This window comes from Homo sapiens, chromosome 6 (assembly GCF_000001405.40).
Source record: "Homo sapiens chromosome 6, GRCh38.p14 Primary Assembly".
NCBI classification, from domain to species: domain Eukaryota; kingdom Metazoa; phylum Chordata; class Mammalia; order Primates; family Hominidae; genus Homo; species Homo sapiens.
In genome coordinates this window covers 150182827-150201711 of record NC_000006.12, presented here as the reverse complement: position 1 = coordinate 150201711, position 18885 = coordinate 150182827, and the positions used below count along the sequence as shown (strand labels likewise).

Sequence of the window (18885 nt, the reverse complement as noted above, 5' to 3'; positions counted from 1 at the left end):
ACCCTCATGCCTCCGCCATCCCAGTTTCCACTCTGTAGCCAGAGTAGCAACTTTAAGAACACAGATCTGTCATTCACCAGCTTAGAACTCACGGGTGGCTTCCTACCAGTCTTAGGACCAACAGTCTTACCTCTGCCTGGAAGGCTTCCCCTGCTGGGCTCCCGGCCTCCTCTCCATTCAATGCCTCACCCCAACTCCCTGAGCTCTAACTCCGCTGGTCTCCTCCGATCCCTCAGGACACTCCCCAGCCAGGCCTCCACAGGGCCTTTGCACGTGCTGGGTGCATGTGTAGGACACTCTTCTTGTTATCTCGTGTCAGCCATCACTTCCTAAAGCAAAATGTCTTCGCCAGACTTGTGATGAGGTCAACCTCCCAGCCCTGGAAACTTAGAATGCCCTGCACCTCTCTTTCGCTGCACTTTCCACACTCTTCCAATTCACATTTCTCAGTCTGCCTCCCCATACTGGAGGACCAAGAGCAGTGCCTGGGATAGCGCCTGACACATGACCCCGATAATCATTTTGTAAATAAAATAACAAACAATTCCCTGAGGTGAGTATTATCATCATCTCTATTTACAGATGGAATGTCTGAGTATCCTGCCCAATAGGGCCGATCGCTTCCTTAGTTCCAAACCTGGACAATCTGACCTCAAAATGTATGGCCCCTACAACTTGTGCTATGTGCCTTTCAGGATGCAGCATGGCTGGGGAATGATTTCTCCCTTTTGACTTCCGTGACTTTTGGAGCAGCAAGGGAGGAGAGCAGAGCCCTTCAGACATGCGGCTCCAGGCACCCAACACATTCAAGCCCTGGTATCCACAGCCAGCTGGAGCCCAGGAAACTCCATGGAAACTTAGAGGATGACGACAGCTTTCACACACTCAGGGGACCACACTCCTTGTGAGGCAGATATGAATGGATTCAGGCTCTCAGTGAAGACTTGGAGGAAAGAAGCAAGTTTGGGAGTAACTAGCCATTTCTGGAGAACATGTTAATCCCCCAGCTGGAGGTCTGGGCCTCTCCTGTTACAAATGTAGGGGATATGGCTGCTTCTAATCTTGCTCTTCTGCAGACCTGTTACAGAGGAGGCCACAGCTGCACCTAGGGGTGTGTCCAAAGGGAAGAGAGCCAGGGGCAGGGCCATGAGACGCATCACTGTGTCTCCTGCTCCAGTCTCTGCTCAGCAGTGGAAAAGGAGCACTCCCCAGACTGAGAACAGGAGCTGGCTGGTTCACCTTAGGGTGAGGACAAACCTAAGTCTGCAGACTTGGTTAAGGAAGGGTTGGATGCAAGATCACAAGGGAGGGAGAAAAGGGAGCTGTCCCAGAGAGGCGAGTAATTCGGACCCCGGCACCATGAGGGGTAGCCGAGACTACTGCCAATCTCCAGGGCTCAAATAGAGTCTATTTAAAATCCTGTACTTCAGAAAGTTAACTGGTTTTTCATTGTACATCCTACAGGTATGTGTGTATGTGTGTGTTGTGTGTGTGTGTGTTGTGTACATGTGTGTGTATGTGTGTGTGTATATATATATATCCTATAAAAGCCCTCAAATATTAATATATCAACTGGTTTCAATAATGCTACCAAAAATGTAAGGTGTTCTTCAAGATTAATGTTAAAGAGTACCAAGGGGATTACACGAGGTGTGACAAAAATTAAAGTGTGAAGCACCCCAGGTGTAAGAAAGTGGAAATGACACAGAGTTACCTTCCTCGTTGTTTATTCCCCACTTGGAAAATCCATTTCCAGAGCGTATCTGACTTAGTCCATCTGCACTGCTCTAACAAAATACAAAAGGCTGGGTAATGTATAAAGAACAGATTTTTTTTTTTTTTAGAGACAGGCTCTCGCTCTGTCACCCAGGCTATAATACAGTGGCACAATCATAGCTCACTGTAACCTTGAACTCCTGGGCTCCAGCGATCCTCCTGCCTCAACCTACTGAGGAGCTAGAACTGCAGATGCGTGCCACTAAGCCTGGCTAATGTTAAAAATTTTGCAGAGATGGCATCTCACTATATTGCCCAGATTGGTCTTGAACTCCTGGGCTCAAGCAATTCTCCCACTTTAGCCTCCAAAGAGCTGGGATTACAGGTGTGAGACACCATGCCTGACCATGAACAGAAATTTTTTTCTTGGTTCTGGAGTCCAAGATGAAGAGGCTGGTGGGTTTATTGTGTGGTGAGGACTAGGTGTCTGCTTCCAAGATGATGCCTCCTTGCTGCACCCTCCAGAACACAGTGTCCTCACACAGATCAGAGGAAGGTGAAATGGAATGCTGCATGAAGCCTCTTTCACAGGGGCCTTGATCTCATTCATGAGGGAGGAGCTCTCAGAGCCTAATCACCTCTTAAAGGGCCACCTCTTAATATTATCATTTTAGCCATTAAATTTCAACACCTGAATTTTGGAGGGGACACATTCGAATGATAGCCGTGCCTCAGCTGAAAGCCTGTTCTTTTTCAAGTTATGATTCACATTCATAAAATACCTGCCCCAGAATCACCCCCATGAACTTGTAAAAATGCAGATTCCTGAGAACCCCCTCCAAAGCCACTGACCCGTCATATCTGAGTGAGGTATCACAAGTCACCATAGTTGGGAGCCACAGGCATTAGCCTCTGAGAGCCAGTGCTTCCAAAGGTGTTGAGTTTAAGTAAAGGATGCCATTCCATTATAGATGGTGACAATAAAAAAAAAAAAAGAAGAAGCCTACCACTTCTGTCTGGTCACTGATTTCTGCACATCTTTTGGAGAAAACAATCGTGCATGCTGTGCTTCCTGGCTATGTTACCCCTACTGCAGGCAGGGCACTGTGCTAGGTGCTGAGGATTCAAAGATCTGCAAGACGTAAGAACTACCACTTGGCAGGTAAGACAAAATCATCACAACTGATGATGAGCGAGGCAGATGGCTGCTACAGAAAGACACCCTTTTCCCTGGCTGTGGAAGCCAAGCTCAGCAGCATAAGTGCCAGCGGGGCTGCCCGGACTATGTCAGCGGCACCATTCCTCGGCCACTGCTCATCTTTGCTTCTCCTGAGCCCCTCTGAGAACAGATGGCATTGCTGAGGTCCCTCAGTGTTTCTCAGCACCTGCTGGCACCTCCATTGCAAACAAGACCGTCAAGAAAACCATCTTCCACAACTTTTGTAATCATCCAGGTCTTAACCCATAGAATGTGGCAAGACTGGTCAAAATGTCAAGGAATGGGACATTCTGGCAGGGGAACAAGCCATGCACACCCTCCCTCAGCAAGGGGCAGCTCTCCCCTCCCTGGAGAGGATGGTCACCTGACAACCACGCAGCCACAGCAGGGACACACAAAGCCGGGCATCCAGGCCCTCCTCCACCGTGGCGGCCAGGGGCACACAAAGCCGGGCATCCAGGCCCTCCTCCACCATGGCGGCCAGGGGCACACAAAGCCGGGCATCCAGGCCCTCCTCCACCGTGGCAGGCAGGGGCACACAAAGCCGGGCATCCAGGCCCTCCTCCACCGTGGCGGCCAGGGGCACACAAAGCCGGGCATCCAGGCCCTCCTCCACCGTGAAGGGCAGGGGCACACAAAGCCGGGCATCCAGGCCCTCCTCCACCGTGACGGGCAGGGGCACACAAAGCCGGGCATCCAGGCCCTCCTCCACCGTGGCGGCCAGGGGCACACAAAGCTGGGCATCCAGGCCCTCCTCCACCATGAAGGGCAGGGGCACACAAAGCCGGGCATCCAGGCCCTCCTCCACCGTGACGGGCAGGGGCACACAAAGCCGGGCATCCAGGCCCTCCTCCACCGTGGCAGGCAGGGGCACACAAAGCTGGGCATCCAGGCCCTCCTCCACTGTGGCGGGCAGGGGCACACAAAGCCGGGCATCCAGGCCCTCCTCCACCGTGAAGGGCAGGGGCACACAAAGCCGGGCATCCAGGCCCTCCTCCACCGTGGCGGCCAGGGGCACACAAAGCCGGGCATCCAGGCCCTCCTCCACCGTGGCGGCCAGGGGCACACAAAGCCGGGCATCCAGGCCCTCCTCCACCGTGGCGGGCAGGGACACAGATGTCATGGCCAGATTGCCTCCACATTGGAAAACAGGAGGTGCTTTCTCTCCACCCCGCTACAGCAACCTGGATACCCACCACCAGCCTTCCCACGGCAGCCTGGAAATCAGCAATGTGCCAATCTTAAAGCATCCCATTAGCTTTTACGCCACCTGTTCCCTTCTCACTAATCTCACCGACCCCAGGCCGGCAGCGAATATTCAGTTCAACTCAAACATTTCTTACCTCTCCATGCAAGACAGGTGCCCTCTGGAGCCAGAGCTCTGAGGCCACCTCCAGGGAGTGACTGCGGTGGGTAAGAGGCCCACAGTTTAACTTCCTAGACCAACGACAGTGGCTAGAAAGTCCAGCTGTTCCCATGAATTGGACCTGTGGCAGGTGCAGGGAAGTGCCGCAGGCGGGAGCAGAGCCTCTCACACTGGGCTCCTCCCTTAGTTCTTTCCTCTTCCACAGACTCCCTCATCCCCCACCTCTGGGAGGCCTGAGGTAGGCAGGGGCAGAGACAATCCTTGTAACCTTCTCCAGTCCTTCAACAGAGACTCCAGCCAGTTCCCAAACTCGGGATCTATAGAGGTGCAGCAAGCAGCAGCTGGAGCCTGAGGGGAGGGTGGAAGGTTGTGTTTACTGGAGGGAGGGAGAAGGGAGGACAAGTACATTCCAGCCTTCCTGAGACCCAGGAAGTTCTTGGCATCTTCTGCAAATGCCATTGGCACTGATTAGGCTAGATTTTCACCTTTACAACAACAGCTTTGTAGCTTAGACTCCAGACAAGTAGTGTAGAATAAAATTCCAATTAATTTTAAAAACTCCAACTGTGTTATTCTGACTCGGCCATGAAGTAAGTTTCCACTGAGGCAGTAAATTGTTGTCTCATCTACCTCTGCTGCTTCTGCTACTAGAACAGACACTCAAATCAGATCACAAGTCACAGCAGATGGACAGGGAGAAGGAGAGGCCATGCTTTAATTTTAACAAATGAAGTGATTGAAACACATCTTTACTTTTCAAAGGAAAAACGGTGGCAAATACTAATGGGACAAGTTCTTTATGCTGATCTATGTTTCCATTCCCAGAAAGAGGTGTTAAATGGTACATGATTAAATGGTTAAGCCTCTCCCCAGAGCTTTATTTTCTCCTGAGCAGGGAACAATTTGGATTGAGGAGAACATACTCAAAACAACCTTAGAGATTCAAAAAAAAAAAAAGTCCTTAGAAGAGAAACTAGATTCAAGAATTGGATGCCTTGCTACTACTTCTGCTAAATATTGACATAAAAGAAAGGAGAAACAGAATGTCTCACACCTAGTGGGCGGTCCATAATTATCTGCTGAGTGACTGACTGAATGATTTACTTTGAGTCCCAGTGGCTCTGAACCAGCAAGCTTACACAGATGCTATAAAGGCAAGCAGGGCTGAAGATTTATTGTTGCCCAGTTGCCCTCAATGACCATAAATCTTTGCCAGTTTCTAGGCTGTTCCAGGCAGTACAGCTAGAAGCTCAGAAGGCTTAACAACAGTGTATTGCAATGACTTCCTTTGGAAGGCCCCATTGATGCTCCTATTTATAGAAAGGGGTGAGAGGTCTAGCAGAACTACGGTTTTAGTCTCTCTGACACAAGAGAGGAGAATCCCAGTCCCCCACTCACTGAGACAGGTTCTTCAGCCCAGACAGCGACCAAGCTGCAGAGTGGCAGGTCTTCAGTCCTTGGACACAGCAGAAGATGGGCAAGGGGCATTCAGGCCAATCACTGCCCATGACCTGACACTGCCTTAGAACTGGGAGTTTCCTGTCCTCTGGCCTCCCATAGCTCTGTGGTCCTAGGCATATTAAAACCCATCAAGAATGGGCACAGTGTCTCAGTTTGGGAAGATGAGAAAGTTCGGGAGATGAATGGTGGGGATGGTTGCAAAAAAAAATAGTAAATGTACTTAATGTAGCTGACCTGTACACTTAAAAATGGCTAAAATGTTAAATTTTATATTATGTGTATTTTACAACAATAAAAAAACAAAACAAGGGGCTGAGCATGGTGGTTCATGCCTGTAATCCCAGCATTTTGGGAGGCCAAGGTGGGCAGATCACTTTCAGCTCAAGACCAGCCTGGGCAACATGGTGAAACCCCATCTGTATAAACATACAAAAATTAGCCAGGCATGGTGGTGGGTGCCTGTAGTTCCAGCTACTCAGGAGGCTGAGGTGGGAGGATAGCTTGAGCCCAGGAGGCAGAGGTTGCAGTGAGCCGAGATAGCACCACTGCTTTCTAGCCTGGGCAATAGCGACACTCTATCTCAAAAACAAAACATGTCAATCCAGATGTGTATCAGTTGTCTCCACTAGCAAACTAAGAGCTCCTTGAGGGCAGGAACTGCATTTCATTTATTTTTTTAGCCCCCATGTATAACATGGTATCCACACACACACATATACTGCAATTTGTTATTGAGTGAATAAACCGGAGCTCTCTGCCATGTAAAATGCTTAGGCTTAAAACTACCATAAAACTCATTTTCTGAAATGTTCAAGTTAAGAATAAGAGTAACCCACATAATTGCATGAGTAACCTCCTCTTGAAATTGAGACAGATTTGAAGATGGTCATACAGGTTATATTCAAAAGGCTATAACTAGTAACTGCTCTAGGTATGTAAGTAAAGTACAAAGCAAAAGCAGACACATATTCTTTTTATAACTTTTGCCTTTATCAATTTATTCCAGACAGAATGCCTCCTGGATCAACTGTCATATTTATGAACTGAGTCAATCTCACCTTTAAATCAGTGTCAATAATTGTATTCAACATGTGTAAGTACTCAAACAAGTAGACTTCCCCGGTACTCACTGAGATGCTAAAGAATAACAAACATCAACCCCCAAGCAGTGGTCAAACAAAACAGGGTCTTAAACTATGCAACAAATTATAAGAGCCTCTTTTACGTTTTATAGCTGAACAAGCAAATCATTTTATCAGATTCACCAAGGACAGAACTGTTTGTGCTAAAGGCGAGGTGAGTTAGGAGTAGTCAGAAGCCAAGGTGGTTTAATAAAATGTAAAATATTTTAAATAAAACACTATTTAATCATTTTTGCATCCTACTGGTAGATAATCAAAGAGCTACTCCTTTAATTAATGGAAAAGCATGATTTATAATTGGCATACAAATTGTAGTAGAACATTATTTGGTTCTCTTCACTAAATTACACATGCCACTTAAAATCCTGTTTACAGTATCATTTTGTACATACTCTCAAGAGACAAAACAAACAGGGGTTGCCAAAGAAAGATAAATCTTGGCTCAAGCTGTGTCCAAATCCTTATAAGTGTTTTGAATTTGTTAAGTAACCATTTCTTGGGATAAGTGGAAGGTAACAGAAATGGAAGAGGGATTTAGAGAAAAAAACAAAATAAGAAAACCATGCCCACTGTATTAGTCTGTTCTCACGCTGCTGGTAAAGACATACCCGAGACTGGGTATTCATAAAGAAAAAGAGGTTTAATGAACTCACAGTTCCACATGGCTGGGGAGGCCTCACAATCATGGCAGAAGGCGGAAGGCACTGCTTTCATGGCAGCAGCAAGAGAGAAATGAAAACCAAACAAAAGGAGTTTCCCTTTACAAAACCAGCAGATCTCGTGAGACATTCACTACCATAAGAACAGTATCAGGGAAACCGCCCCCCATGATTCAATGATCTCCCACAGGGTCCCTCCCACAACACGCAGGAATTATGGGAGCTACAATTCAGGATGAGATTTGGGTGGGGACACAGCCAAACCATGTCACCCACATTAGGCATTCAATAAATGCCTGCTGAAGAAGTGGATGGAAGCCAGGATAAGGAGGCTTAGGACAGGGGGCTCCAGAGCTACATCCTATGAATGGTAGAAGGAAATGGGGAATGAGCTTTTATCAAGAGCAGCTGTTCAAAATCAGAATGGGCTTCCTTGCAAGGACATTCCAGATCTGAGTGACCCAGCAGAGGCAGATGTCATCCCCTCCCTCCTCCAGATGTATACAGCTACCTCCCACCCCTCCCTCCTCCCCTTCTCCCAGCCCTGGCCCTCCATCGAGGACTTCAGCATTTACTCATTATCTGCAGGATGCAAGCCAAGTCCATCTTCTCATTTCCGATCTCTTTCCCGTCGTAGCTCTCTTCTTCTTCATCTTCCTTTCTCTTACTCACTCCTGGAAATTCTTTTGAAAATGCAGACTCTGATACAGACATCTACACACTCCAATTCTAATAAAGAAAATGTACTTTTTTTCTTGTTTTCCTGTCTTTCTGAGTAGTGTGGCATTTGGGGACCACTGACATAGGCAACTTTCCATCTAGTGTAGCAGTCTCTGAGATTTTCTCACATGTGAGACATCCTTGTCTCTTCCTCCTCTTTTTCCTCCTCTTTTTCTTCTTCCTGTGTCCTGGAGATGCTGATTAAACAAGCCTTGAGTGACTTTTTAAAGCTCCCTCGGTGATTTGGATAATCAGGAGATTTGGGAAGCACTGGTCTTGGTAACGTCTAAGCTTCCTTCTCTCTATGAATCAAAGCTTGGCCCATATCTGCCAGGAACAGCCTATACAAAAAATGATTTATACTCTGTACTTAAACAACAGAGTAAGAAAAAGATAACTGGGAAAAGAGAACTGATCACTCAGAATATTCCAGGGTCTATCTCCCTCCCACTAAAAGGTCAGCCAAATGTGTGACTGTGCCATGTCATCCTCTAGCACAGGGGTCCCAAGACCCAGGCCATGGACTAGTACCAGTCCCAAAAGATGAGAGGCCCTGAAAGATGAGACACTGTGTGGAAACAGAGAGGGCAAGAAGCCAGACCTGTAGGTGAAGGAACCATCGTGGAAAACCAGCCCAGTCCAGTCTTCGGATGATTCCAGACCCAGCCACCATCTGACTCCGGCTGTGTAAGAGAGCCCAAGAGGGAACCATCCAGCTGAGTCCTATCAACCCCCAGAACCATGAAATATAATAACACATATTGTGTTAAGCTACTGAGATTTGGGGGGTGTTTTGTGGCATGCAACAACAGATACCTGGAGCAGATAGGTAATTTGCCAGTCTGAATTTCCTTTAAAGCACAGTGGTACTGGTCCATGGCCTGTTTGGGACCAGGCCACACAGTAGGAGGTGAACATGGGCAAGAAAGCATTACCGCCTGAGCCCTGTCTCTTGTTGATCAGTGGGAGCACTAGATTCTCATAGGAGTGCAAACCCTATTGTGAACCACGCACGAAAGGGATCTGGGTTGCATGCTCCTCATGAGAATCTAATGCCTGATGATCTGAGATGGAACAGTTTCATCCCGAAACCATCTGCACCCAACCCCCAGTCTGTGAAAAAAATTGTCTCCCGTGAAACTAGCCCCTGATGCCAAAAAGGTTGGGGACCACTGCTCTAGCAGACTCAAGTACAACACAAATAATATGGGCCAGAATTTAGAGACAACAAAATAACCAGGCAGCCCAGGCGGCATCCAAATCAAGCCCACAGAATGAATGGGAAAAGTCAAAACGGACCAGCCTAAACCTGCAGCCAATCAAATCTCATGCATGGAATTTCATGCTGTGTGAGGACTCCGAGAAGAGGATTCAGTAGTATCCTTTAGGGAGACATTGAGAAACAAACAGAATCTGGAATGGTGCTCATTCCCAGACACTGAGTCAGCAAGCTCCAGCCTCTGTGCACACAGTAATCTGTACCTGGAACCCTCTTCTTTCCCTATCTACACCTCAAATCCCAGTTCAGAGACCACTCCATTGCCTGAAACCATTTCCTTCATGAATAGTCAGCAGGGTAAGGTCTCCCTCTTTTAAAGTCTCACCTTTGAATTTCATGTCAATAACCACATTCAATGTGCATAAGTACTCAAACACGCAGATTTCCCCTATACTCTCTGAGATGCTAAAGAATAGCAAACATCCACTACCAAGCAGTTAAATATACAGGTACTATATTGCCTCCAGCATAAAAGATGACTTGACACTATATTGCAGATGAGACCAGAATATTTCCCCAATCTTCCACAAGGAGAGCAGAGTGTTTTCCAGATTCAATCAAGGATCTATGGTGCTTAAATGAAGATTCTAAGAGCAGGTGTTATGGTCCTTGCCCTCTGTCACACTGCTGCGGATGCTCTGAGAGACATACACACATCTGATGTACTTGTGTCTCTCCCAATTTCGAGAACTGTTCTTTGCACACAGTCAGTAAAAAACATCTGGTGGATACAATCACTCCACAGATACTTATTGAATGTCTGCTATATGCCAGGCATTGTTCCAGATGCTGGGAATAGAGCAGGAAACAAAATTGACAGAATCTTTGCACTCCTAGCTTTTAGATGTGCAAAATAATGTTAGCAGGAGATAAGTGCTACAGGGAAAAGCAACGCAGGAAAAGGAGCCAGGAAGTATGGAGGCTGCTGCCATTTCAACAACAGTTGATCCTGGAAGGTTCACTGGGAGCCTGACGTATGATAAGGTCCTGAAGGTGAGGGAGGGAACCATGTAGAAGAACGTTCCAGACAGAGGGAACAGTAAGCTGCAGAGCCCAGAGGAGAAAACATGTGAGGACCAAGGAGGCCAATGTCGGGAGCAGAGAGAGTGAAGGGCAAAGAAGTAGGGGATCAGAGAGGTAACCGTGTGGGTAGGGTGGGGGAGTCAGATCACACAGGTGGTACAGACCAGTGTAAAGACATAGCCACTGTACACCATTTGACTTATATTAACGGGATCACTCTGGCATCCGGGTTGAGGATAGGGAGCAAGAGAGGAAGAAGGGAGGGCAGGTAGGGGCTGCAAAAGTAATACAAGCAAGAGAACTTAGTGGTATGGACCAAGGTAGAGAAGGACAGACTCTGGGTCTATTTTGAAGGTAGAGCCAATGGGATTTGCTGACAAATTGACTACAGAATGCAAAATACGCTGGGTGTGGTGGCTCACCGCAGTAATCCCAGCACTTTAAGAGGCCGAGGAGAGTGGATCACGAGCTCAAGAAATCAAGACCGTCGTGGCCAACATTGTGAAACACCGTCTCTACTAAAAATACAAAAATTAGCTGGGTGTGCTGGCATGCGCCTGTAGTCCCAGCTACTTGGGAGGCTGAGGCAGGAGAATCGCTTGAACCTGGGAGGCGGAGGTTACAGTGAGCTGAGATCATGCAACTGCACTTCAGCCTGGTGACAGAGAGACTCCATCTCAAAAAAAAAAAAAGGCAAAATACAGAGATCTAGGATGACTTTAAGGTTTCTGCCTTGAACAACTGTTAGGATAAAGTTGCCATTCCTAACATGCATAAAGTGGGGAGGAAGTGCCGTGGAGAAAAGTGGGGTTGAAGATCAGGGGCTGGGCTTTGGGCATACTAAGGCTGAGCTTCTTACTAAGTGTTCAGGTGGAGACATTGAAGAGGAAGTTGGAGATATAAGAATAAAGTTTCATAAACGCGTCCAGGCTAGAGATATACATTTGTGATTCACCAGTATATAGACAGCATTTTAAGCCATGAGACAGAACCTCAAAATATAGCATGCAGAAGGATAAGAAAGGTGACATGGTTTGCCCTGGGTCAGGCATCAAGGGAGAATTTGACCAAAATCATCCTTTTCTCACCTTTAACTTACAAGTTGGAATCAAGGGCAGGCTACGCACCTAAGAAAGCCTTGCTGAAGGGTGACCATCAGCTTTCACCCTCCTGTAGATGCCTGGAGGGGTTCTGTGTTGGGGGGTTGGGGGACAGATTTATGTGACCCATTTAAAAGAACAGAAAGGTGAGTAGAAGCTGCTGGATTCAGTTAGAACTACTCAGGGTCAAGATTCCAAACTGTGGCTGTTGGTGCCAAGGAATCCACAGTTTTATCCAGAGGTGTGCTTGATAATAAAGCATTCTGTATCAGTCTGAAGAAAGGTTTCGAAGGTTTCAAATGGGAGCAATCCTAGAATATAAAGTCAGAAATGTTCTCTACCGAAAGAAAAGCAAAAGCAATCAATATCAAAATGACGAGTTTAGCCATCAACAGAAAGCCTCCAACATAAAAGATGACTTGATACTATATTGAAGATGAGACTAGAGTATTTCTCAATCTTCCACAAAAAAAAAAAGCAGAATGTTTTCCAAATGCAATCAAGGATAGCCAGGTGTCTTCCTTATCCAATCAAGAGGCTAGACTCTCGCTCAAATCCAATAACAGTGGCCCTGAGAAATGGGACTAGAATGTAGAGCAAGTCATGAAGGAACACTGACATCTGCTCTATTGCATTATGATCCCTGTCTGGGGTGGCGCTGTGTCAACAGAAATAGATTAAGAAATGGGGTGTGAGGGGTGGAGAGTGCTATCAAATAGTTTAAATGCATCACCCTTCACCTGGTGCTTTCGAGGAGAAGGGAGTACACAGACCCTCACGGATTGATCTCAGTGCTGTCCAGAAAAAAGAACTTACAAGAAGGAGGAATTTAGTGAGTGAACAAAGGTTAATTACAACATCCTGTAAGGGCCAGGTGCGGTGGCTCACACCTGTAATCCCAGCACTTTGAGATGCTGAAGCAGGCAGATCACCTGAGGTCAGGAGTTTGAGACCAGCCTGACCAAAATGGCAAAATCCTGTCTCTACTAAAAATACAAAAATTAGCCGGGCATGGTGGCGCACACCTGTGATCCCAGCTACTCAGGAGGCTGAGGCAGGAGAACTGCTTGAACCTGGGAGGCAGAGGTTGCAGTGAGCCGAGATCATGCCATTGCACTCCAGCCTGGGTGACAGAGCAAGAATCTGTCTAAAAAATTAATAAATAAATAATAATTAAAAAATTAAAAATAAAAAAATAAAAAATCCTGTAAGAAAAAATGTCCCATAAGAAGGTAATTCCTAGCCAGGCGCAGTGGCTCACACCTATAATCTCAGCACTTTGGGAGGCCTAGGCGGGTGGATCATGAGGTCAGGAGATCAAGACCATCCTGGCTAACATGGTGAAACCCTGTCTCTACTAAAAACACAAAAAATTAGCCGGGCGTGGTGGTGGGCGCCTGTAGTCCCAGCTACTCAGGAGGCTGAGGCAGGAGAATGGCATGAACCCAGGAGGCAGAGCTTGCAGTGAGCCGAGATTACTTCACTGCACTCCAGCCTGGGCAATAGGGCGAGACTCCGTCTCAAAAAAAAAAAAAAAAAAAAAAGGTAATTCCTGTTCTTCTGTTCCCACACCGATCAATCTTCCGCAGGACCCGCCCATCAGGAAGGCATGCCCTGAGCACAGAAGGGTCTTTTTAAAATTCCAATTCACCTTCAATCTCTTCTGAACAAAATGTATGATTTTAGAATGTGTTGTATAAACATTTGTCTGATCATTTAATTAAGCTATTACCAAAAGAAGATTCATGAAAATACATTATTTCACCATCAAACCAGCAAATCTAGAAGAAGACTAATTAATCCAGAAGACTAATCTGTTCTAAATTAGAGATCCTTAATGTTTTAAGCACATAAATACAAGGTTAAATTTTGACAAAACAACAAATTAGAACAACCACCCAATAAAATAAAGAAACCCTGATAATAAACAGACCTTTCTCCAACAGTGACTAAAACTATGTTAGAATATAATATTCTACTTCAGTTTTTTTACATTGTTGAGTCTTCTGTGTGAGTGAAAAAATATTGAAAAGGATCAGATTAAATGTGATGTGGTTATTCGGTGTAACATATATCTTTGGGATTAAAACAAATATTGTGAAAACCAATCAGTTGTAGAAATACAAATCATGCCAAGAAGTAAAGCATGTAAAAAATAAAAAACAATGACTAAGTCAAGTACCATTTAACTGTGGTCAAGGAATGTAAATCTTGTCAAGATCCTGTAGTCAAAAAATATAAATCGTTCTATCATAAAGACAGTGCACATGTATGTTCACTGCAGCACTATTCACATTAGCAAAGACATGGAATCAACTTAAATGCCCATCAATGATAGACTAGATAAAGAAAAGTTGGTACATATACACCATAGAATACTACGCAGCCATAAAAAGAAAGAGATCATGTCCTCTGCAGAAACATGGATGGAGTTGGAGGCCATTAACCTTAGCAAACTAATGCAGGAACAGAAAACCAAATACCACACATTCCCAAAAGTAGAAGCTAAAAGATGAGAACACATGGACACACAGAGGAGAACAACACACACTAGGGCCTTAAGGGTAGAGGGTGGGAGGAGGGAGAGGATCAGGAAAAAGTAACTAATGGGTGCTCATCTTAATACCTGGGTGACAAAATAATCTGTACAACAAACTCCCATAACAAAAATTTACATATATAACAAAACTTCACTTATACCCCGAACTTAAAAGTTGAAGTTAAAAGCATGCAAACACACACACACACACACACACACACACACACACACACACACACAGAGAAAGAGAAAGGCCAAGGTGGGCAGATCACCTGAGGTCAGGAGTTCAAGACCAGCCTGGCCAACATGGTGAATGAAATCTTGTCTCTACTAAAAATACAAAAATTTGCTGGGCATGGTGGCAGGTGCCTATAATCCCAGCTACCCAGGAGGCTGACGCAGGAGAATCTCTTGAACCCAGGAGGCGAAGGTTGCAGTGAGCCAAGATTGCACCATTGCACTCCAGCCTGGGCGACAAGAGTGAAACTCCGTCTCAAAAAAAAAAAAGACTAAGTCAAGCATAACTTAAAAGAAAAGTCAAACCTGACCACCCCACACCACTGCTTCCATGGCTCCTCACTCAGCTGAAAATTCTGACTCCCTGGCTTGGCCCACAAGGTCCTCCTGGTTGGACCCCAGCAACTTCTCCAGCTTTGCCTCATTCTTAGCAGCCACCCCCAGCTGGTATCCATTTCCTGAACTTTCTCCCCCTTTCTTCCCCAGGCTCTCAGTGCTCAGTCTTTGAGTCAGCCACCTACTGGTCCAGGCCGTCCCCAGCTTCAGGTCATCCCCCGCCTCAGGCCCTGACCCCACCTTGGCCTCTAGCAAACACTGTTGGTTGGCTTCTCCCTCTCTGAGCCGCCATGATGTTTATCAACCACTCTGGAGCCCCGGAAGCCCAGGTCCTGACACAGTGTGCAGAGGCGCTGCTCCCCAAAGCTTTTCCAGCTTCAGATTGTCAAAATCAAGTTGACAGGATGTGGAGCTCACCTATGCAATGACAAGCCTATGGATCAGTCAGTATTGAAGGTCACATAAAGTCCAAACACACAGCAGGGCTCAGCAAAAGCCCAGTGGAATAACTGAGTTTGCTGAGGGGACTGTCCGGTAACACACTCCCCTCTGAGGCCCAGCTCTAAATTACGCAGGGCATTTGCTCTTCAGACCAACAGTGGAATTATATCCTTCAAAGTGGATGGGAAAATTGCTCCTGAGGGCTTTTGAAGACCATACCTAGAGGAACCGCCTGTTTGCTAAGCTTCCTGGAATTAATGTCTTTTCTCCCTGATTAAATAAAACAATTAATTATCGGAACTGAGGGTGGAGATGTGGCAAGGGGCATTCCTTTTTAGAAGCCCTGAGAACAGTGGGGCCCCACTCCATTTATCGCAAACCCATCCTTGGTCACGGGAGCATCAAAGACCAGGCACGAATATTCTGGTGGCCTCCTTCCAGCGACAGGGTAGGGCTGGGCTTTGCTGCCCCTCTGAAGTTGGGTGTGACTAAGGGACTTGCTTTGCCCAGTGAACTCTGATGTGAAGTGATGTGTGCACTTCCTGGTAGAGGCTTTAGGAGCCGATAGGTGCCACGCCTGACCCTTGCCTGCCTTGCTAGTCATGGCCACATGTGTCTACACAGAGCCTCAGCAGCCTAGGTCCCTGAGTGATGGTGAGGGTAGAACCCCTACATCAGCCAATATAAGCTACACAGCACGAGTGAGAATATGACTTGCTCGGTTTAAGCCACTGAAAGTTTGGGTCACTCCTGAGTGTAACATAGCCTCGCCTATCCTCACCGACACACAGAGCTGATTTGTCACTGCTTGCTGGAATAATAAATGATCATCAGCTTCCTAATACAGACAGGGAGGCCGCAGAGCTATTATGCAGAGGTAGCCTTCACTCTGTGGAGCCCTGAGCCCTGCACCCAGCAGCCAAGGGTAGGCAGAAACACAGCATCTTCCAATCACACACATCATCTGTCAGACTCTATGCTCAGTGCTAGGAATATGGTAGTGGACTGTTGCTGGAAATTCCTGTGGTTAATGCAAGGATGGTCCCCATGGCAAGACGAGCAGTCAGGAAATCGATGAGGTAGCTGGGAAGGGCAAAGAGTAAAGGGCAGATTGCAGGAGCCTTGCAGGTCTGTGTGACTTTCATGAGACATGGTCGGTGTCAGGCTGACTACTGCTAGGCACTTCTCTAAGGGTTTCACCTGCATTTAACCCCTTCATCCTCACAACTACCCTGTAAGAGAGGCAATACCATTGTTGACATGTTATAGATGAGGAAATCGATAAAGAAAGAAGTTGAGTAAATAATGGACCCGTTGCAACCCAGTCAAACTGAAAAGCAGGAAGTGAGAATGCTACTACATCAGAAATAGAGGATAGTTAATAACAGCCGGAAATTAAAAGGGGGAAAGACCTGTAACTAAATGTGATAGCCAGGAGCCAACAACAGATGGTATGTTTAGGTGAGAAGGTCCTGGCTGCCCAACCATGGGCATGAGGGAGTGAAGGGAGAATTAGTCAATCCCACTGCCAACAGATGAATAAAGCCATAACTTCATGATCAAGCATATCTCAGCCAGGCTATACGGCTACCCATGTGTGTCCAGCTTTGGTTTGTTCAAATAGATAATTTCATTCATTCACCAACTCATTCACAAATCTTTCTGGGCACCAGCCCTGTGTAAGGCACTGTGTCTTACACTCCAGGACACAACAGTAAACAAAATCATGCGGTGGCTGCTCTCAAGGAGGCTTTCAATCAAGGGGAGAAACTAGACAGACTGGGAGTAAGGACCCACTGAGGGCAAAAGAGAGGCCACTTGTCCGCATTTTTGGCAGAGAGAAGTCCAAAATATGCTTAAAAAGTGCTGTCTCCAAGATATAGGTATAGTAACGACAAAACACAACATGTGGCCATGAAGAGGATGGGGTGGGGGAGGGGACAAAAGGGATATGTTCTGAGAAATGCATCCATAGGTGATTCTGTCATTGTGCAAACATCACAGAGTGAACTTACACAATCTAGATGGTACAACCTACTCCATGCCTAGGCTGTAGGGTATGGCCTATTGCTCCTAGTCCACACACCTGTGCAGCATATGACTGTCGTGCCAGATACTATCTACCAGGAGGTGGCTGGATATCCCCTTCCAAAGGAAGTTAGGCTCGCCTAGGAGCAAGAGGAGGTGGTATGATGGAGACGGCCCCTCCATGCTCCATTTGTGCCTTAAAAGCACAAAGACATGATTGGTCACAGGCTGAGTCCCTCCTATGCTCTCATCACATCCTACCTGGGATACTCGTTCTCCACGCGCACTTGGATGTGTGACTACACCTGCAAATTAGTTGCTAAGGAACCCACATATTAACTTCTGAATCTATGACAGAGAATAAAATAACATTCAACTTGCCTGATTAGCTCACGGGGTTGTCACAACTAATCCTTCTTCAAAAACCAAAAGAATCACTCACCTACCATCAATAGGAACTCCTTAAAACTTGGGAAATATGTGAACTGTCGGAAAGTAAGCGTTACACCATAGCAAGTCTCTGCTGTTTCTCTCAGATGTTTAAAATAAACATGCTTATAAATATACATCAACATGAGATTCTATATAAACCACTGAAACTTTTGTTTCACTTGCTCATCTTAAGAAATGTCCCAGTTTGGGCCGGGCACGGTGGCTCACGCCTGTAATCCCAGCATTTTGGGAGGCTGGGTGGATCACGAGGTCAGGAGTTCAAGACCAGCCTGGCCAAGGTGGTGAAACCCCATCTCTACTAAAAATACAAAAAACTAGCCAGGTGCAGTGGCAGGCGCCTGTAATCCCAGCTACTTGGGAGGCTGAGGCAGGAGAATCGCTTAAACTCGGACAGTGGAGGTTGCAGTGAGCCGAGATCGCACCTTTGCACTCCAGCCTGGGTGACAGAGTGAGACTGCGTCTCAAAAAAAAAAAGAAATGTCCCAGTTTGGTGACTTGGTAGAACCCGCAGTCAGATGTTAACCAGGTTCATAATAACTTTCTCTGTACTACGACATTTGGAAGCATTTTTCTGAACACTGAATTTCCCTGAAGTCCTAACACAAAATATGTTTATTTTTTATTCTACTTCCTTTTTGTACAGGTGGAGCAATAAAGTTGAATTTACATACCCGTTTTGACCAACTCATTTCCTCTTTATAATTTCAGGGATGATTGTACTAAAGAAAATTCAAGTAAACTTTATGACTAACATCAGCCAGAATTGCTTGCTAACAGTCCGAGATAACTCACTAAAAAAAAAAAAATCCCCTTCAAATATGAAAAGTCTAATTTGCCATAGCAATCATGAAAGATAGAATTAAAAAAACAACAGAATATTTGTACTATTTGTGCCAAGTGGATATTTATGGATTTCCAGCATAATAATATTTCCACCAACAGTGGACCACATATACAGCAGTGGTCCCATAAGATTAAAATACCATATTTTTACTGCACTTTTTCTGTGTGTAGATGTGTTTAGATATACAATTGCTTCTATTGTGTTACAACTGCCTACAGTATTCAGGATGGTCACATGCACAGGTTTGTAGCCTAGGAGTAATAGGCTGTGCCATAGAACCTAGGTGTGTCGTAGGCTGTACCATCTAGGCGTGTGTAGTTCA

At 46.1% G+C, this 18885-nt stretch overlaps 1 protein-coding gene across 1 annotated transcript in view, besides 2 other annotated features; it reads right to left on the bottom strand.

Annotated features, from left to right (window-relative positions):
- PPP1R14C (protein phosphatase 1 regulatory inhibitor subunit 14C) overlaps positions 1–18885 on the bottom strand; it is a 107349-nt gene that overhangs the window by 48681 nt on the left and 39783 nt on the right. The gene's annotated exons all lie outside the window — the stretch shown is intronic.
- Positions 4265–4559: a silencer, noted in NCBI's record as "tiled region #9319; HepG2 Repressive non-DNase unmatched - State 20:ReprD, and K562 Repressive non-DNase unmatched - State 19:H4K20". NCBI's record gives its function as "represses a minimal TATA promoter and a strong SV40 promoter by Sharpr-MPRA in HepG2 and K562 cells {active_cell/tissue: HepG2 | K562}" and the evidence as "EXISTENCE:reporter gene assay evidence [ECO:0000049][PMID:27701403]".
- Positions 11756–11961: a silencer, noted in NCBI's record as "fragment chr6:150510887-150511092 (GRCh37/hg19 assembly coordinates)". NCBI's record gives its function as "represses an EF-1alpha promoter that drives an FKBP-Casp9 reporter gene in an ReSE screen in both phorbol 12-myristate 13-acetate-treated (for megakaryocytic differentiation) and untreated K562 erythroleukemia cells {active_cell/tissue: K562 | K562(+PMA)}" and the evidence as "EXISTENCE:reporter gene assay evidence [ECO:0000049][PMID:32094911]".